General features: G+C 38.8%; 1 protein-coding gene across 1 annotated transcript in view; it reads right to left on the minus strand.

Moving 5' to 3' along the window:
- Positions 1 to 810: 810 nt before the first annotated feature.
- Positions 811 to 19,387, minus strand: part of WIF1 (Wnt inhibitory factor 1) — a 70,680-nt gene continuing 52,103 nt past the window's right edge. The window contains exons 4-10 of the mRNA NM_007191.5: positions 18,949 to 19,089; positions 17,880 to 17,975; positions 16,826 to 16,921; positions 12,666 to 12,761; positions 6,216 to 6,311; positions 5,303 to 5,398; positions 811 to 1,655 (exon numbers count right to left, since the gene is read on the minus strand). Of these exons, the coding sequence (NP_009122.2) occupies positions 1,534 to 1,655; positions 5,303 to 5,398; positions 6,216 to 6,311; positions 12,666 to 12,761; positions 16,826 to 16,921; positions 17,880 to 17,975; positions 18,949 to 19,089 (743 nt within the window). The 3' untranslated portion in view covers positions 811 to 1,533. The remainder of the gene's footprint in view (positions 1,656 to 5,302; positions 5,399 to 6,215; positions 6,312 to 12,665; positions 12,762 to 16,825; positions 16,922 to 17,879; positions 17,976 to 18,948; positions 19,090 to 19,387) is intronic.

A 19,387-nucleotide genomic window follows, 5' to 3' on the forward strand; every position in this document is an offset into this window, starting at 1 on the left:
CTCAGCCAAAGCCTTTCCCTTGATCCCTTCCAGTCATCAAGTCACCTCTCTACATCACACAACTGGTCATGCCACACCCTACTAGAAGAAAATCTGTAGACATTAGACTATCTATGAAATTAAGTCCACATTCCCTTGGGAGAATCAGAATAACATATGCTGGAAAGCTGCTCTCTAGGATTTGCGGAGCTTTGTGTTCTATTGTGTCTGCTGAGAAAAAGGAAGGAGGGAGAGCAGCACAGTGTTACACTTTGGAGTCAGATGTCACAGATTCAAACCCCGTCCCTGTCACGTGAGATCTTATTGTCTCCAAGCCTCAGTTTCTGATCTGTAAAATGGCATAATGATACCTGCCTCATAGAATTGTAAGATAACCCATGTACTATACTTGGGAACTGATAGAGCTGTTTGTTTGTGTGTTTTTTGCTAGGCTCCCTCAAATCATGGTACCAATAGGTTTTTAATACAGGGTAGCACTTTTCATTTGTAACATTCTAACCCTTGAGAAAGTCTTCCACTAAAGGGATATTTAACACATTCTACTTAGTGAGAATGTGAAATATTCTTGAAAGAAATAACAAGCTGAGACCTGATATAAATAGTGTTGCAGGTGGTGACAACAGAGAGCAGTATGGCATGGTTGGAGTACAGTCAGAGAGCTGGGAGGGAGGGCTGACACTGAAGAGCTAAGGCAGGGGCAGACAATGGAATAGCTTTGTTTTTTTATACTGGAAATATTAACTACCACTAAATTGCAACCAATTTTATTTTCATAAGATAGCATGTGCAAAGATCACCTCCACACAATGCTCAGAAAACTAAAGCAGCACCTTTATTTTATACATACAAACAGTATAAAATGTTTATTAGGTAAGAGCTGTGTTTTGTTTACAATATATTATATTGCTTCAAGCCAATGCAAAAAGTTCATACATTATATTCCCTATTTCATTGTGTTTAGAATATATTATATTGTTTAAATGCCACTACCACAGTGTAATTTTTTTTTTTTTAATACTGAATCTCTGGAATAATGGTAAGGTCAAAATATATTGTATTGAGAGTTTAAAAATTAAGAGCAATTTTTAAAAATGTAACAAACATCTAAATATCTGACAATAAAATCTGAAATGCTGTAACTTCAACATTAACTGCACCATCCAAATTCTTGTGACTTACGCATTTTTGCCCAATTTAACCTTTCTGATGTTCCCCTGCCCCCAGACACCATAAATGCATTGTAATTTTGAAAATATCTGCCAACTACACACTGAAAATTTTAACCTGATCAATTGACATAATATAAAATCTGTCCCAAAGCACTGAAACAAGAAAATCTATACCATCATGCTACAGACGTACTTAGAAAACTTAAAAGGAAGAGTAAATATCAGCTCAGTGATTTATAATGAAGCTAATAAAATTCAGGCCAGTATTCTTAAGTGTAATGAACATTATTTGAACATTCAACACATGAAAGGTTAACAAAGGCTATGAACTTGGTGTAACTTAAAACGTTTCAGATGTCGGAGTTCACCAGATGTAATTGGATTCAGGTGGATCCCGCCGCTCCTCGGCCTTTTTAAGTGAAGGCGTGTGCTGCCTGAGCTGGGCGCCTGCTGGCCTCAGGGCATGTATGAGGCTGGCTTCGTACCCTGCAAAATTATTCACAGCTTAAAAGGAAAGAAACTACAAAACCAGGCTCTTCAGATTCATTATTAACCATTCAAATGAAATCCATTTTTGCCTTTTCAATCCAGAATGAAAAACCGCAATGACCACAAAAAGCTACCTGAATGAAGAGATCTCTGTTAAGAGCAACCCATTTTACTAACTCCATGAAACCAGGTTTCCATTGGATTTCTCATTCCCTATATATTCTGGCCATGCAGAAACTCTTGATGCAAAATCTGGGTGAATGTGACTGAATGGAAGTATAGTCTCCATCCAAGGGCTGGTAAGGATCTAGCATTGAAATTTTGAATGCAGCTGCAGATTTGGTCGTTGATCCTTTTCACTGCACTGCAAACCTAACCTAGCTGATATTGATCCAGTTCAATATGACAACCCGACTCTTCATAAAGATCACATGATTGGGTGTGACTATTGCACTTATAAGACAGGAATTTTGTAAAAATTAAGAACTTCCATTATATGTGTCAGGGAAAAGGTTAAGATTTGAACTGACTCTTCCTTATCAATAGAGATTTGTGTTTTGGTCAAGGTGGGCATCTATCTGTTTCCAGATGGGTTGTAAATGGAATGTGCTAAGTTACACAACTTCAGACCTCCCTTCTTCCTACTTGGGGTGATGCTCAGGGGCAGTAACTCATTTCTCATCTCCTAAAACTGATCCAAGGCAGCAAATTACATTGTAAAAATCTGCCTGCATCTTCTTGTGCATCTGAGTTAAATTCAGCATTTATTTATTCCTTGTGTTTTTAAATGCAAACATGCCATTAAGCAGCTACTGAGAACAGAATACTTTGTTCCTGAATGTGTTCCTTTGAATTGTCAGTATGTAGTCTAGTAGCTTGTGGAGTGGTCAAAACCTGAGCCAGCAATGAGTTGGAGTAAATCTCTACCATGCTGCTTGGCCTGTGACCCATGAAGCCCAAACCTTTCTGTTGGCGAGGGTGAGCCTATGCGGGGACTTCTGTCTCCAGTATCCTCCTCCCCACCATCATGCCTGGGTCCCTGGAACTCCCAACGTGTCATCCCACTGGGAGTATGTTCTTAGCAGAACTCTGTGCCTCAGAGCTTCCTTGTCACCTCCGTCTAGTCAAAATAAACCCCCTTCTTTCAGCTCAATTATTTTAGCTAATGTACAAAATGGCTGGGTGACCTCTCCTGGAAAACACATTTGCATTTGAATCAAGCACCAGGTCATCTTCTTGGCATGCAATGCTTGGATTTGAAGGAGGCACACTGATGGCAGACGCTTTCAGCAGCATAATCTCCAAGTGGGGGTGCTGTTTGGAGGCTGGCAGACCTGTCAGGAGGCATCATCTACCACACGAGGGCCCCTAACTTGCCTTCCCTTTGGAAGAATGGCTGGGTGCATCAGAAGTAACAGTGCCCTTGTGCTCCCCTCTTCATCACTTGTGGGGATCACTGGGATCTGGATGTGAGTCTTAGAAGACCTTTGTAACTAAGTCCTTGCATGTGTGGTCTGGACTAGGCTTGAGGATTTTTTAGTTATTTTGATTCTGAAGCAAGCCTCAGGGTTTGTCTCCAGTTGAGGGTGGCATAAGAGCTTCGGTTTACTCTTTTCCAAAATGGCACTAGAAATATTGAGTCTCCTATAGGTCTTTTAGTCCAAAGAAGATCTCCTTATCAGTATGTCCTAGCAGGGATACCATTCAACCATTCCCACTGTGTGAGAAGCAATTTTCCAGAGGAGCGGCACTGCTTATTAAATTGTGTCCACCTGAAGCCAATTTAATCAACCATCCAGTTAATTCAGTGGGTGAAAAAGCATCAAATCAGTGGCTTAGTGTAGTGATATGGTTTGCCTGTGTCCCCACCCAAATCTCATCTTGAATTGTAATCCCCATAATCCCCGTGTGTCAAGGGAGACACCAGGTGGAGGTAATTGAATCATGGGGCTGGTTCCCCTATGCTGTTCTCCTGATAGTGAGCGAGTTCTCACGAGATCTGACAGTTTTATAAGTGTTTGGCAAGCTCCTTCTATGGTCATTCTCTCTCCTTCCACCTTATGAAGAAGGTACCTGCCTCCCTTTGCCTTCTGCCACGATTGTAAGTTTCCTGAGGCCTCCCTAGCCATATGGAAGGGTGAGTCAAACCTCTTTCCTTTATACATTACTCAGTCTCTGAAAGTTCTTTATAGCAGTGTGAGAACAGACTAATACATGTAACCTAGACCAGATACCAACCTACCTTAAAGTAAACAGATGTATAACTACATATACACTTATTTTAGATACATTAAACAAATACAATATGAACATTGTAAAATATAAGCAAAACTTAGAAATTAGAAAGACTACCATAAGTATATTAAATGTATATTTATATATAAATATAAATCAAATTTAAAATATAAAAAATATTTAAAAACTAGTATATTCTTTTAGCACCCCAGTGGATAATTTCCACACTCACTGGGTTGCATGCACCAACCTTTGGAGACTACTGATCTAGGAAAACATCTGATATGTGAGTGATTTGTTCAGTTTGTATCCATTACTTTGGAGACATAATATGGTAGACACAACCTGGAATTTTGTGAATTTGCTTTTTTTTTTTTTTTTTTTTTGAGACAGGGTCTTTCTATGTTGCCCAGGCTGATCTCAAACTCCTGGATTCAAGAAATCCTCTTGCCTCAGCCTCCCAAGTAGCTTGGACTACAGGCATGTGCCAACACTCCCAGCTTGGAATTATGTTTTCGAAGAGTATGGTATGTGACTGAAGTCTTCCTTTTTTCAAACTAAAGTGGACAGTGGGCCCATGCTTAGGAGACTGAGTTCTAGCTGCCAGAAATGCTGAAACTGTGTTGTTTTGTTAATTTGCTAATTGACTGCCCCTCCCACTCCACAAGGCAGGGCCTTTTCTGTCTGTGCACTGGTGTGTCCCCAGTGCTTGGATTCATGCTTAGCACAGGAGAGACCACAATCAATACTGAATGAATTTAGCAAGTGTCATTGTGTGTCTAAAATAGGCCAGCTGTTTATCTACATAGCTAGCTCATTTTTGGTAGTAAATTTTGAAAAAATGCAACTCCATTATAACATCTCTCCCATAGACAGCTTTATAAACCTTTTCTTTCCCTCAAAAGAACTCATTTACTTACTATTACCAGTACAGTTTAAATATTTTAAGAAGCAAAATGCTTCATGTTTTATAATGATACTTGACAAATCATGAATTATAAAATCAGAGGTAAGGAGACACTGATTCTACATTTGATTTAAAATCTTAGTTTCATGTGTCATTTCTTTCATAGTTAACACACTATATTACCCCTAGATCAACCTGTATTACTAATTTAGCCTAGAAAATATTTGTGATATTTTACAGATGTGATCTTTTACAAAGATGCATTACTCTTTACACACTAAAGCTTAGACTCTAAAGTTTAAAGAGGTGGAGAAGTATGGGGGAGAAGAGGCAGAGAAAAAGCTGCCTTTAATGAAATGGAAAGCAGGGCTGAGTTATAGGTTGACTGTTAGCCTTTGAAGCCAAGAAACCGAAGTGAAAAGGCTGGCCCTTCTTCTGGTCTCCCACTCACTTTTATTTTTATTTTTTTCCTTGTTTACAACTTTTTATTTCTCCCACTCACTTTTATTGCAGTGTCTTCCATGCCAACCTTCTTGACATTGGCATTTGTTGGGTTCATGGCAGGTTCCATGTGCACCACAGCCAGGCTCGCAGACAGCTAGAATCAAAAGAAATAAAAAGAGTATTTCCTGAGCTTTCCTTTTTCAACAGAATTACATAGTTGCTTTCCTTGCAATTCTTTAGAATGTGTTAGTTTTGGCTTCATCCTCTAATTTTTTTTCCTAAGTCAGTCTCCAGTCATAAGTTGGTTTTGGACTTTTTGTAAAGTCCTGAGAATGATCTTTAAGCATGATATTTTTCATTCGCAAAAGACATTCAGTAGGATTTTGAAACTGCTGGAGCATGGAAGTTTATTTTCCTTAAGAAAACACCTGGCTGGGCATGATGGCTCATGCCTGTAATCCCAACACTTTGGGGGGCTGAGGCAGGTGGATCACGAGGTCAGGAGTTCGAGATCAGCCTGGCCAAGGTGGTGAAACTCCATCTCTACTAAAAAAAAAATACGAAGATTGGCCGGGTGCAGTGGCAGGTGCCTATAGTCCCAGCTACTCGGGAGGCCGAGGCAGGGGAATCGCTTACACCTGGGGGGCGGAGGTTTCAATGGGCCTAGATCGCGCCACTGCACTCCAGCCTGGGCGACAGAGAGAGACTCCGTCTCAAAAAACAAAACAAAACAAAACAAAGAAACCACCTTGTAGTTAAAACGTTCAGTTGCATGTGTGAGTATCCATTTTTTTACATGCACAGATTTCATACCACACCTCTGGTCTACATAAGGAAGCATATATGTCAGTGAAGAAAGGTTAACTGTGATGCCCAGGCAACATGCACTAAGCACGGAAGTATGTAGTGAGAGACTCCTGCTAGTTTAACGACCTAGTAGCCCAGATTGGCAATGTGTATGGGGTACTTACGCTTTGAACAGAGGTCTCCCTGGTAACCTTTGGAACACTTACATTTGCTTTTACCAATGCATTTACCTCCATTTCGACAGGGTTGTGGGCATTTGCCTGAAAAAGAGAAGAATGCAGCTAAACAAGGAACCTGGTGCTTCATTCAGAGGTAATTACATTTTTCAAAGGAATTACAAGGCTTTGAGAGGATAAGTGCTTTTAAATGGCAATTTTCATTTATTTCAGATCTACTCTGGCTTTTTTTTTTTGAGTTTTGTTTTTGGAACAGACAGGATAATATTTTTAACTTATGCTTTTGGATTATAAATGTGTTGCCAAAATGCTGCATTTATATCCTTTTTTTTTTTTTTTTTTTTTTTTTTTTTTTTTTTTTTAAGTAAAGACGGGTTTCATTCTGTTGGCCAGGCTAGTCTTGATCTCCCGACCTCAAGTGATCCGCCCGCCTTGGCCTCTCAAAAGTGCTGGGATTACAAGTATGAGCCACCACGCCCAGCCCAATTACTTTTTAATAAACAGAATAATCTTTTAACTGACTCACAAATACTTGCTAAGATATACTTTACTAAAAGTTATGACATAAATTACCCTTTAAATAATCTTTTCACTGGGTATTGATTTTTGTTTTTTGGTTCTTTTTGAGATGGAATCTTGCTATTTTGCCCAGGCTGGAGTGCAGTGGCAGGATCTCGGCTCACTGCATCCTCCGCCTCCCAGGTTCAAGTGATTCTCCTGCCTCATCCTCCAGGGTTGCTGGGAACACAGACATGTGCCACCATGCCCAGCTAATTTTTGTATTTTTAGTAGACACAGGGTTTCACCTTCTTGGCCAAGCTGGTCTCGAACTCCTGACCTCAAGTGATCCCCCCACCTCAACCTCCCAAAATGCTGGGATTACAGGCATGAGCCACTGTGCCTGGCCAAGTTTTGATTTTTGAATGTCACTTTTTCTGAAAGTAAGTCTATACCTGTACCTGATGACAGTCTTAGCCTAGGATTCCCCAGAAAGCAGGATCTGCATGCAGCTAGTTTATTTGGGGAAGTGATTGTAGGAAACAGGAATGGGGGAATGGGAGGGGTGAAATGGAAGGAGGGAAATGCAACACAAAAGTGTGTTTGTGGGTGGAAAACAGGAGTATGGGGCTGCTAAGTCGAGGTGCAGTGGCAATGGCTGGTGTGCAAGGCTGGCCAAGAGGCTGTGAGATGTGACACAAAAGGTGCCCAATATCACAACAATGCATTTTCCTGGAATGCCCTAGGTCCATAATGATACTTGGTAATTTCTTTTATCTCTTTGCCCAATGAGTATTACGAATGCTTTTCACAGATCTTTGAATCACAGAATTTTAGAGCTGGAGTAAGGCCCTAGGTGTAAAAATCATTTAATAAATTTCTCACTTCTTTCTCCAGAGGCTATTTATTATCCCTCTGCAATCTAGAATTTGCTATCCTAAGTCCTAGTTTTTGAAGAAGTGGAAGATAAGTTACTTTTTACCTAGAGCTGAAACCACATCCTATGCCTGGCATAAGATGTTTTGAAGACAGCAAGTAGCCTGTAGATTTTGGTAGTGGAGGAGTTTGGATTGCTTTTGTTGTTCTTTTTCTTTTCTTTTTATTCACTTTAGCAGAACACTCATTACAAAGGCTTCTAGGTACATAAGGAGAAGTAATGAAAATTTATCCTAAACCAACCCACCTTTCACTCTCTAAGCCCTTCTTTTTATTGCCAAAGAAAGCTGCGAAAGAAGTCAACCCCCATATATTTTACTGACAAGTACTATTCTTGACAAACAAGAAGTAAATTCTTTATGAAAATCATTCTACTAAAAACACTTCATCTTTTTATTTACCTAAAAGGACTTTATTCATATATAAGTAGACCAAAGCAGTATTTAGTCATTGTGGAGACAATATAGACGTAACAATATTGGGATGTTAGGGTCTCTCACAAACCTGGAATGCCGTTAGACACTGAGGTTTTTCTGCATAGAGGTGTTCCAGAAACAAGTATGAAAACAAACTTAATAACAGAATATCACCTCTTCATTGACCAAAAGAAGGTCCTTTTTTTTTTTGCCAGGTTTGAATACAAGAATACCATTTACTGTTTAGTTAAGATCTCAGCTCTCACCAAAAAGAAGGAATATCTAACTCCAAATTTCCATTTGCATCAAATAAATACCTGACCCCAACATATACACAAAATTGGGTCATATCACAGTACTCTGCAATGCATCAGGTTTTTTCAAGTGAGCAAGGTATAGGATGATAATTATATGGCAGAAAAGACAGCGTACTCATATGTGAACTACTTGGTGAGCCCGAATTTTCTCCTCCTCTATGAGGGGTGAAGTTGGTAACTGGGATAATGCAGAAAATGACTGGTGGAGATAATCCTTTCATAAACTTCAAGAAGTTTTTTGTTTTCATGGCAACAGGGAAGTGAGGACCCTTAGATTCACCGCAGTCAGGAAGGAGGACGTTCTCTCCTGGCTATTATACAACAGAAACGTGACTGCAGGAGACGTTAGACATTCGAAAGCTATTACTAGTTTAAAGACTATAGGAGCCAAAATTCATGAAGATCTGATTGTTTTAAAATTCATAATACTGGAAAAATATCTTTAATAGGAATTTCTTCTTCCTGAAAATAGTTTGCAACCAAATTCTACCCATTAAATAGTGGAAAACTGAGTCAGCTTGAGAGATGGCACATTTTTACTTAAAGAGACTAAGCCCTGGCTGGGCATGGTGGCTCTCGCCTGTAATCCCAGCACTTTGGAAGGCTGAGGCAAACAGATCACTGGAGGCCAGGAGTTCAAGACTAGCCTGGCCAATATGGTGAAATCCTGTCTCTACTAAAAATGTAAAAAAATTAGCCAAGTGTGATGGTGGGCACCTGTAATCTCAGCTACTTGGGAGGCTGTGGCAGAAGAATCGCTTGAACCTGGAAGGCGGAGGTTGCAGAGAGCCAAGATGGCGCCACTGCACTCCAGCCTAGGTGACAGAGCTAGACTCCATCTCAAAAAAAGAAAAAAAAAAAATAGACTAAGCCCTGTCTAAAGACAAACAGATTTGACTAAGTTTCAGCTGGTGGCATTTTTACTATAACCAATAGATGAGTCCTTGTAAGAAGAATGAAATAAGAATACATTGACAAAATAAAGACATTAAATTTCTTCTACCTATGCAATTGTAGGATAATTTAAATTATCAGTTTAATGAAGTGACAGTTAAATGAAGAAAACAGATAAAAGGGTTTTTAAGTGCCAACAATTGTCATCTCTGGGTTTTAGGATTATAGGTGATTTTTAATTGTTTTCTCCAATATTCTAAATTTTTTTAACAGAGAATATTTTATATTGAGAACTTTAATAAGAAGAACCCACTCAGTTATTTTTAAAATCCTTTTCTAATAATCCTTGCATTAGAAAAGGATTATAAATAATTTGGGTAGTCTTTTTAACTGAAGGTTCATTAAAGATTCTTGGGAAATCCATGAGTCTTAGATAACAAGATGTATGTACACACCATCCATCCAGATACCTCTAACCATAGTTTTGTTAACCTACAAGCATATCTCACAATCAACTCGGAATAAAGTTTGAGATGGTATCATTGTTTTTTACTTTTTTTTTTTTGAGATGGAGTTTTGCTCTTGTCTCCTAGGCTGGAGTGCAGTGGCTCAACCTTGGCTCACTGCAACCTGTGTCTCCAGGGTTCAAGCAATTCTTTTGCCTCAGCCTCCTGAATAGCTAGGACTACAGGTGTCTGCCACCATGCCTGGCTAATTTTTGTGTTTTTAGTAGAGATGAGGGTTTGCCATGTTGGCCAGGCTGGTCTCTAACTCCTGACCTCAGGTGATCCGCCTGCTTCAGCCTCTCAAAGTGCTGGGATTATAGGCGTGAGCCACTGCACCCAGGTGAGACGGCATCATTCTTGATAGAGGTCAGGAGAAATGAAAATAAACATGGCATCGGAGTATACATTTCATTTAAAAAAAAAACAAAAAACAAAGAGCCAGCAATGAGTGCTGGTGAGGATGTGGAGAAACTGGAACCCTCATACACTGCTGGTGGGAATGTAAAATGATGCAACTGCTTTGGAAAACAGTCTGGTAGTTCCTCAAAAAAGTTGTCACCACGTGACCCAGCAATTCCACCCCCAGGTAAATATTCTGAAGAAATGGAAACGTCCACACAAGCATCTCACACGCAGATTTTCATAGCCATATTATTCGTAATAGCCCCAAAGTGGAAACAACCCAAATGTCCAACAGCTGATAAATAAACAAAATGTGGTAAATCCATAAAATGGAATATTATTTGGCAATAAAAAGGAATAATGCAGTGATATATACTACACCATGGGTAAGCACTGAAAACACTAGAATGAACCCAGGTAAAAGAAGCCACACAAGAAATGCCATATCTTATATGATTCCATTTATGTGAAATGTTAAGAATAAGCAAGTCTAGAAACAGAAAGTAGCTTAGTGGTTGCCAGTGTCTGGAGGGAAAGGGGAAGGGGAGGTGACTGCTAATAGGTACAGATTTTCTTTTGGGGATGATAACATGTTCTGGAATTTGATAGAGGTGATGGCTACACAATCTTGTGAATAACCCGAATGGTACATTTTAAAATGTTGAGTTTTATGTGATTGTGACTTATATCTTAATTAAAAATAAGAATACATAATTCAACTATACTTTTTTGTTTCTGTACCTTTGGAGGCACTTTTCAACTCAAGACCCATTTCCATATTTTCCTGGTAATGTAGTTCCCGTGATAGAAACAGGAAACTTCCGCAAAGATTTTGGATAAAACTTGAAGTAGGGTCAATCAGGAGCTTTCAAAGACCCACATTTTTTGATGTGGTAAAACAAAAAACCAAGAATACAAAACATTGTCTCTGCCAACAGAAGATTCATAAACCTAAGAACATGAAAGGGCATATTTACATGAAGGAAAATGAGCCTATGAACAAAGATTCATAACCATGAACCAAGTAAGTGTGCAGAGTCTGAAGTAAGTACAGGGGAAAATTGAGGGGAGTTAGTTCAGAGATATCTTTATCCGGGAAGGGTAATTAATAAGAATAGAAACCACACCCAGACAATTAATTACATGTTCTATGGAAACTTTAGAGGTATTTCATTTGAACCCTATAAAAATGGTTACTTCATCCACTACTCATTAAAGTACAAAAACCCACAAATAAATTAGAGGTTGAAAGTTCAAACAGGAACTTAGTCTTATTCAACTTTCAATCTACAATACACTACTATATACACTACTGTATAACACTGTTCGGCTGTACCAAACAGTGGTGTTTTACAGATACAGCTGGAAATGAAACACAGACCAAGTTTCCCTCAACAAACATATCAAGAAAGGCAGGGACACAGGACACTTAGTGGACAGGCTGACCTTCCTTTTGCTCTTTCTTGAGCATGTGCTTTGGTGCTATCTGTTCTTCTGGATTGTAAGGCAATCTAGGAGGGAGTTATCTCATTTCTGAGTTAAAGAGAGAGGCTACATGACTTGCTGAGAGCTACATGGCTGGTCAATGGCAGAGCCTGGACAAGCAGTTTGGAATATTGATTCCGAAAACAATGATAAGCTACCACATTTCAACCCTTACTTTTTTAACTTTTGTGTATTGAAGTATGACAAACATATAGTAAAGGCATAGTGTGTACCAATCTTAAGTTTACAGTTCAGATATTTTTATTTACATAAACAGATGTGTGGCACTTCACCAATCAAGATACTTAGCATTCCATAAAGTTCCTTTTGCTCCAACTGTGATTCTCGTTTCTACTGTCATCCGTTAGTTTCACCTATTCTTGAACTTCAAAAAGATGGGATCATGCAGTAGGTAACTTTTTGTGTCTGGTTACTTTCACTTAGTATCTGTGTGGTTCATTCATGTTGCTGTTTGTGCTACTATTTCATTCTTTTTTTATTGCTATGCGCCTCTTTTTTCTCGTTTTTCTTGAGTCTACCTTTTTCTCTTAGATGGGTTGTTAGGCTCAGTCTAGGATATCTGGCAGTGAGCGGCAGGGGAAACAGGTACATAGGTAAACAGATCCCAGCTGTCCCAGAGCTCTGATCTACATTTCCAGTCTGAAGCTATGGGTTCCACATAATGAGGAGGGGACAAAATGACTAACAGAAAACAATGCAACTGTTGAATAATCCAAACCCAGACATAACCGAGTCAGAGAGCATTTCTTCTGAGTCCTCTGAGGTGAGCTGTGTCACTCTTTGCCCCACCTTCAGCCAAAATGCATGGTAGCTGAATCTAGCAAAAAGAAACCACTGGCCTAAGACCTTAGACAAGTTATTCATTCTCTCTGGGCTTCCGACTCCTCCTTGATAAAATGAAGGGGTTATATGGGGTTTCTAAGGTCTCCCCAAGTCAAAAGAACGCAGAAAGTCAATACTCACTGATTTCACACTGCTCTCCCTCTAGTCCTGGAGGGCAAATACATTTTCCAGGGTAGAAACAGGTCCCTCCATTAAAGCAGGTGGTTGAGCAGTTTGCTGTTAGAATGAGTAACAGGGGTGTTGCATTAGACAGTAGGTTAAATCTAACACAAATTTCACTTAAAGTGAGGTGCTATTTTTTAGGCATCTGCTTGCTACTTGCCCATTTCCTGACTTAATAAAATAAGCTGCTTTACAAATACAAAATTTGTACCAATTGCTTGCCTATGTGCAGACTCCAGAACATAATAGGAGACCACACACATCATATACTACCCACCAGTAGGAGTTTCCATCTCAGTGAAGAAAGGCACAGTAAAAAAAATTAGCTTTTTAATTTTCTTATACATAGCTATGCCCTTAAAAGGAAAAGAATGGTATAAACCTAAGGATTTTTTTTGTAAACATCAGTTTAGAGGATAAGAGAAGAGTAAAAAGGAGAAGACTTACTTTGGAATAGATAAAAGAGAAGTCATAAATATCAGGACCTGACAAAAAAGCAACTTTCTTTCAGGACAAGATGAACAGATATTTATCTTATTGAGATTGTTTTTTAAAAAATATACTTTTATGACTTTCGGAGAAAAGAGTAACTGTATTCAGAAAAAGACTGTGGGCCCAGGTGAGATCCCATAGGTAGGAGTGTGGCCACAGCAGGGACCAGAGGATGATGAAGTTGGCTGTATCATAGTGGAAGCCCAATAACCAGATTATCCAGGTAGTAATCACACTTCGTGATTCATCCTAAACCCTCTCTCACAGTGTCAGTTTCTGGAATTTCACTGCTCACTAGCACCTAAAATAGAGGGAGGATGGAGAAATGGAGAGGGGAGGAGAGGAAATATCTAAAAATAGACAAGTTGGCTCATTCTATAAAGGAAATTAAAATGAGAGCTTGGATTTTTAGCAATTCCAGTTATATGACCCATTTGTTCTTGTCCCATATAAAATTGGCCAAAATTGGCTATAGATGAACAAAAGCTAAAATAAGCTTCCAGTAGGAAAATCAGAAAAGAAATCCAAAAGTTCTAAGTGTATGCTTTCTTTGTGGGAAAAAAAAAGTCCACAAAGCAAAATGTTCTACGAGTATCATGCTTCTTAAATGATAAATTGTGTTTAAAATCACAAAGATCTCCAAGTTTAAGGAAGTGCTGTACTCACTTTGGCAAATCAAAACTCTTTTTTTTTTTTTTTTTGGTTTGTTTTTTAAAAGAGACAGGGTCTTGCTCTGTCTCCCAGGCTGGAGTGCAGTGGCACAATCATAGCTCACTGCAACCTTAAATCCCTGGGCTTAAGGTTTCTTCCTGCCTCAGCCTCCCAGATGGCTGGGAGTAAAGGTGTACACTACCATGCCTGATTAAGTTTTGAATTTTTTCTGTATAGATGGAGTCTTGCTACATTGTCCACACAGGTCACAAAAAAATTCAAGCCTCTTAATGTGGAAGGGAGCTGTAGCATTTTGGTATAGGATTTAGGATTTAGGAGAACAAGCTCTTGGGGCCTCCTCTTTGCTGGAGTATTGCTAAGGCTGGACAGTTGTTTTTGTAAGTGTGTCCTGTCTCCTCACTTCTGTTTCTCTGGGAGATAGAAGGGAATGATGAGATCAGTGCCCTGGAAAACTTTGGGATCAGTACCCACTTGGCCCATGCCCCGTGGGCACTGCCCAATTACTGATGTGTAGAATGCAATGAACCTGGTAGCTTCATAGAAAGTTGTAGAATTCGGCAAGGTTGGTTACATAATTTGGCCACACTCTTAGTACTTGTATGCTATTGTATTGTCATGAGCAAGCTTCTCTACATTTCTGTTGTGCAATGATTCTTGATTAGAAAAACAAGCAGCTAGAGACACGAAGTATCTTTCTCTAGGGCTGAGGCCCCACTGGCCAGTGCTAAACTCCTTAGGTCCTAAAGGTTGTGATGTCCCAAGGGCCAATGAAAGTTATTCTTTAATATTTGTTCAAATACATAGTGCTGATGTCTATTTCCATAGTAGTAATTAAATCATTTTTCAGAGCCTCCACATATTCCCTCCTGGAGAATTAAAGCATCTTTTTGTTGAGGTAGAAATTTTTTTTTTTTAATATTCCCAGATCCCCAGTGAGACCAAGTGGAATTTCAACAGACATTATAAAAGAATAAAAAAATTACTGGAGTCTGATGAGTAGGAAAATCTTTCATTTGAAAGATAAAATATTACAAAATATAGTATGTACTGGAATATAGATAGATATATTACTTTGCAAGTGACCATGTGGTGTTTGTGACACCGTAGCACTAGAAAAACACTGCAATTGACACTCCATTATGCAAACCACACCAACAATGGCCACGCCTACATAAGAAGGTCTCACAAATGGTCTCTTGTGAATACATGAGTTCTTCAACTAAATCTGGAGGATTTGCTTTATTTATTCATAGTTTTGAGGCAATAAGAGTTTAATTCTCCTCTAGAATGCCCAGTTTTAAAATAGCAGAGACACTGAATGCTAAATTTAGACAAAAAGATTCACAATAATGAATTTTACTCACAGGCTGTTAATTCTTATTAGAGTAATTAGTGCTTAATCTTTATGAAAACACATTCAAAAAGTGATTTTTAATCCAATACTATAGTTTTAAAAGACCACTTTAAAAAAGGCAGAAATGCTTTCACATATTATCTCAATATAGTTATAATATATAGCTCAGGGGTGAGGGACAGGAGGGTCAATGGCTTAATTCCAAGTCTAGAGATAGAAAAAGCATGGTCCACAGAGAGATCAAGTTGCCTGCCCAGGTTCAGAGTCACTCGTGGAAGAACCAAGGGCTGAATTAGGTAGCCTGGGTGGCAACATGGTACAGTGCAGGATATGAATTTGGGTCAACCTACTCAAGTTCCATAAACCTCACTTTGCTTATCTAGGAATGAGATGGATAATACTTTACATATCTCAAAAGATGTTCAGAGTAAAATCACATAACTGTAGGAAAGTACTTTGTACATCATAAAAGAGTAAACAACCTTAAGTTATTCTGACTCATACTGAAGGCTCTTTCCTTTAGCTTTCCTTTAAAAAACAACAACAACAACAAAAAACTGCTCATGGCAATCTTACTTGGTACTAACTGAGTGATCACTAAAGAGACACTTTTAAAGAATAAAATTTATTATTCTATCTTAACTCATATGTTTATTGACAAAAAATGCTCTATTCATACAATTAGCATTTTTAACACAAAGATAACTTCATTAAATATACAAATTTCACAGCATAGTCTTTATTTTTTTCCACTTAAAAGATGTGAACTGGGCAAAATAAACAAGTCTCTTGTAAAGAGTATGAATCGTTCAGCAATTTTAGGGCCAAGTTTGAATTCACTTACTAAGAGTAAAATCTGGCTGTGTTGCTGCAATGTTAAGAAGGAAGAACCTAATCTCTCTGGGATGTGATTTGTGAGCAGAGTATTGAATCGGGAGTCAGTAAACTTCTAGGTTAGGCAATGTAGAGCAGGTTGTTTAATTTTAGCCTTAGAAGCTCACCCACAAAACCAATTTAGGACATACTAAAATTCCATGTGGCAAGACCAGCTAATTGTTCACAAAAATTTGCACTCCCGTTATGTAATATGAGATGTCAGTGGGAGACCACTGTCCAGCCAGGGGCAACATTTCTTCTGCCTGAAACCAGGTAGGACCATGAGGCTAATTCCTACCTATGGAATAGGTGTGGAAGTTTTGTGGGTAAATTCTGGGCCAGGGCTTTTAAATTTTTTAATTAATTAATTTATTTTTAGCAGTGCTTACTTCAATCCTTCTCTGCCTATTGGCTGGATCTAGAGAGTTCCAAAGCTCTAGGCAGGACCACAGATAGATGGTGCCTGGGCTCCTGAGTCACTGCATGGAGAAGAGCTGCCCTGCCCACTGACCAGGCAAAATGCACTGGAGCATTCTGTGAATGAAAATAAACTTTTGCTATTATGCTACACTAAAATTGGGATTTCAGTTACTATAGCAGCCATCTTTACCCTAAGCCATACATTCTCAGAGCTGTTATGAAGAGTGAGGACATATAAAGTAACTTATTCTAATCAAACATTTTAAAAGTAAAAATAACTTTCTTCTTAAAAAGAAACTGTTACCTTTGTCACAGTTCACTCCATAGAATCCAGGTGGGCAGATGCAGAAACCAGGAGTCACACAAAGTCCACCATTCATACATCGTGGGGTACAAAGGGCTTATAGGGAGAGAGAACCCTGATTAAGGCCAAATGGTATTTTGGAGCAGGACCATTTTGAAATGTCAATAATACAACAGGTCTACATTTTCAAGCTTTGTGGTTGACTCTAAAATGATTACTCTTCAGAGATACAAGTTTGCTATATTAATATTATTTTTGTGGTATAAATTAGGCTGTTTTTCAATTTCTCAGCCAATTTCTTAGAGATGACTTTTGGATTGGTTCCATTTGAATACTTGAATAAATTTTCCCCAGAATCATTTTGACTAAGATGTGGTCTTCTTAAAACTGTTAAATATTTTCACTTTGCCCCATTTGCTTAATCTTCTAATTCCAACATAAATGCAAAGAAGAAAAATAAGAAAATATTATTCTTTCTTACTTATTTTAAAATTATTTTTTAACTGTCTCTCACAGGATATTCTTATTTCTTGAAGATGAAAAATATTTTGCTTACTGTAGTCAGATAAGCTCTTAGTATTTAAACATCTTATGATTAATATTCATTTCCTTGCTTATGTCTTTTTTCATTTATTTTTAAAAATTAATTTCCCTGAAATTGATGTACTTACTACACAAATTCATCCACTTTTTTGCCTTATCATAACTTCATAACTTAGATATACTCTTAGTTGTGAATCAAGCTACTTTCAACTGGAACAATTTCAGATCAGTGGTGATACTAGCTTTTTAAATCCAACTTAAGAGGAGGAAAAAAACCTCAAAATTTTCATAAGATTATGCCAAAGTACAGTGGCTATATTTCTGAAGCGGGATGAGTTGGGGGAGATGGCCAGGAATGGCCACAGAAAGTGATGGCATTGTGCCAAAATTTTCTGCCCCTGTGACCAGGAAAATAATTTCAGGTGTTAAAAATACACAATACACATGGGGCTCCTGCACGACATCCATGTTCATTAGGAAGGGAGCAAGGGAAATCGGCTCCATGTCTTACCTTTCTCACAGTGAGGTCCGTGGAACCCATCAGGACACTCGCAGATGCGTCTTTCATTACAAAAGCCTCCATTTCGGCACCCGCCTGGGCACTCAGCTTCAGCAGAGAGAAACAAAGCTTATATGGACACCCTTGAAATCATGTTGGGTGAATCACAGCCAGTGTGAGACAGTAGTGTTCATTTCTGTTCTAGCCCACCAATTAATCATAATTGATCAAATACCAGTACTTCCAACTCATTCCCTCGATATCACTTGGATTTCACTAAATCTGCTGCAGAGTAAGATTTTGCCTCCCTTATTTCCAACAGTAGGGGGCTCTTGGAAGAAGGTAAGGCAAATTTTATTCTGCCTTCATCTCCTCCTATGGATCTACTGTACCTTGTTAAATTCCCACTGCAATTGAATGAATGGTATTGCCTTTCCCCTTTCAGAGGGTAAGATGACTTATGGGTACATCTTTAGAGCACTGAAATGCTCCAGAGCTTAAATTCTGAGCTAGAAAAGCTTGTATAGGGATGTGAAAGGAGCCAGGCCTTTATAGTTAAATGGGCATCTGGGGTGTGGTGGGGAGGTATTGAGTGAGGCCTTGACCTGGTAGGGATCACTGGCATGAGGTGGCAGTCTGTCCTCCGTGGATATTCATTAGAGGTTATATTAGTGTTGCCTTTGGGACAAGTGGGAAGTGCTGGTAATTATGAGCCACCTTGCCTTGAGCAAACAGAGCAAGAAAGGGGGAAATTCATGACCACGGGTGAGATACACTGGGACTCCCAACAACTGTGTTGGAGGAGTGGAGAGGGAGGAAGAAAAGGTGTTTTGAAACGTTTCCTATTCCTAATATTAAAAGTGGGGTCAAGGTCAGAGGAAGTCTATCTTAGTACTGTTGCTAAATCCTGTGCTGATCATCTCCTCCTTCCGTTGCTGTAGTTATAGAGCCATCATCCAAAAAACCATGTGTGTGTGTGTGTGTGTGTGTGTGTGTGTGTGTGTATAGATATAAATATTTGGTCCAAATCACACCTAAGCCCTTACAACATGTCTTCTCTTGAATCACCATCGGTGCTTACCTTGTTGACATGTTTTAAAGAAGATAGCATTTTGAGGTGTTTGGAGAATGGTGTTGCCTTCAGAATTCATAACAATCACATCCACTTCAAATGCTGCCACCCCATCCTGTTTTCCAAGACATGGGAAACCAACTTGAACAACTAAAAGAAAAAAAGAGAAAGTGTGGAGAAATAGTTAATCTAGTTGATTCTAGTTTTACAGAAATCTTGGGAACCAAGAGTCAAAGGACAAAGCAAAAATGTTCACATGTTGTGGATTTCCTTGTATCTCCACTGGAGTAGGAACTGTATTTTGAGCATCTGGGCTCCACAGAAGTTGAGCATCATGTCAGGTGAAGAAAGAGTGAATGACTCCAATTTTTACCTCATTAATATGGAATTGGTGATATTCTGTTCACAGTCTGGACTTGTACTATCTTAAATATTTTCCCTGGAAATT

This window comes from Homo sapiens, chromosome 12, assembly GCF_000001405.40.
Source record: "Homo sapiens chromosome 12, GRCh38.p14 Primary Assembly".
Lineage (NCBI taxonomy): Eukaryota > Metazoa > Chordata > Mammalia > Primates > Hominidae > Homo > Homo sapiens.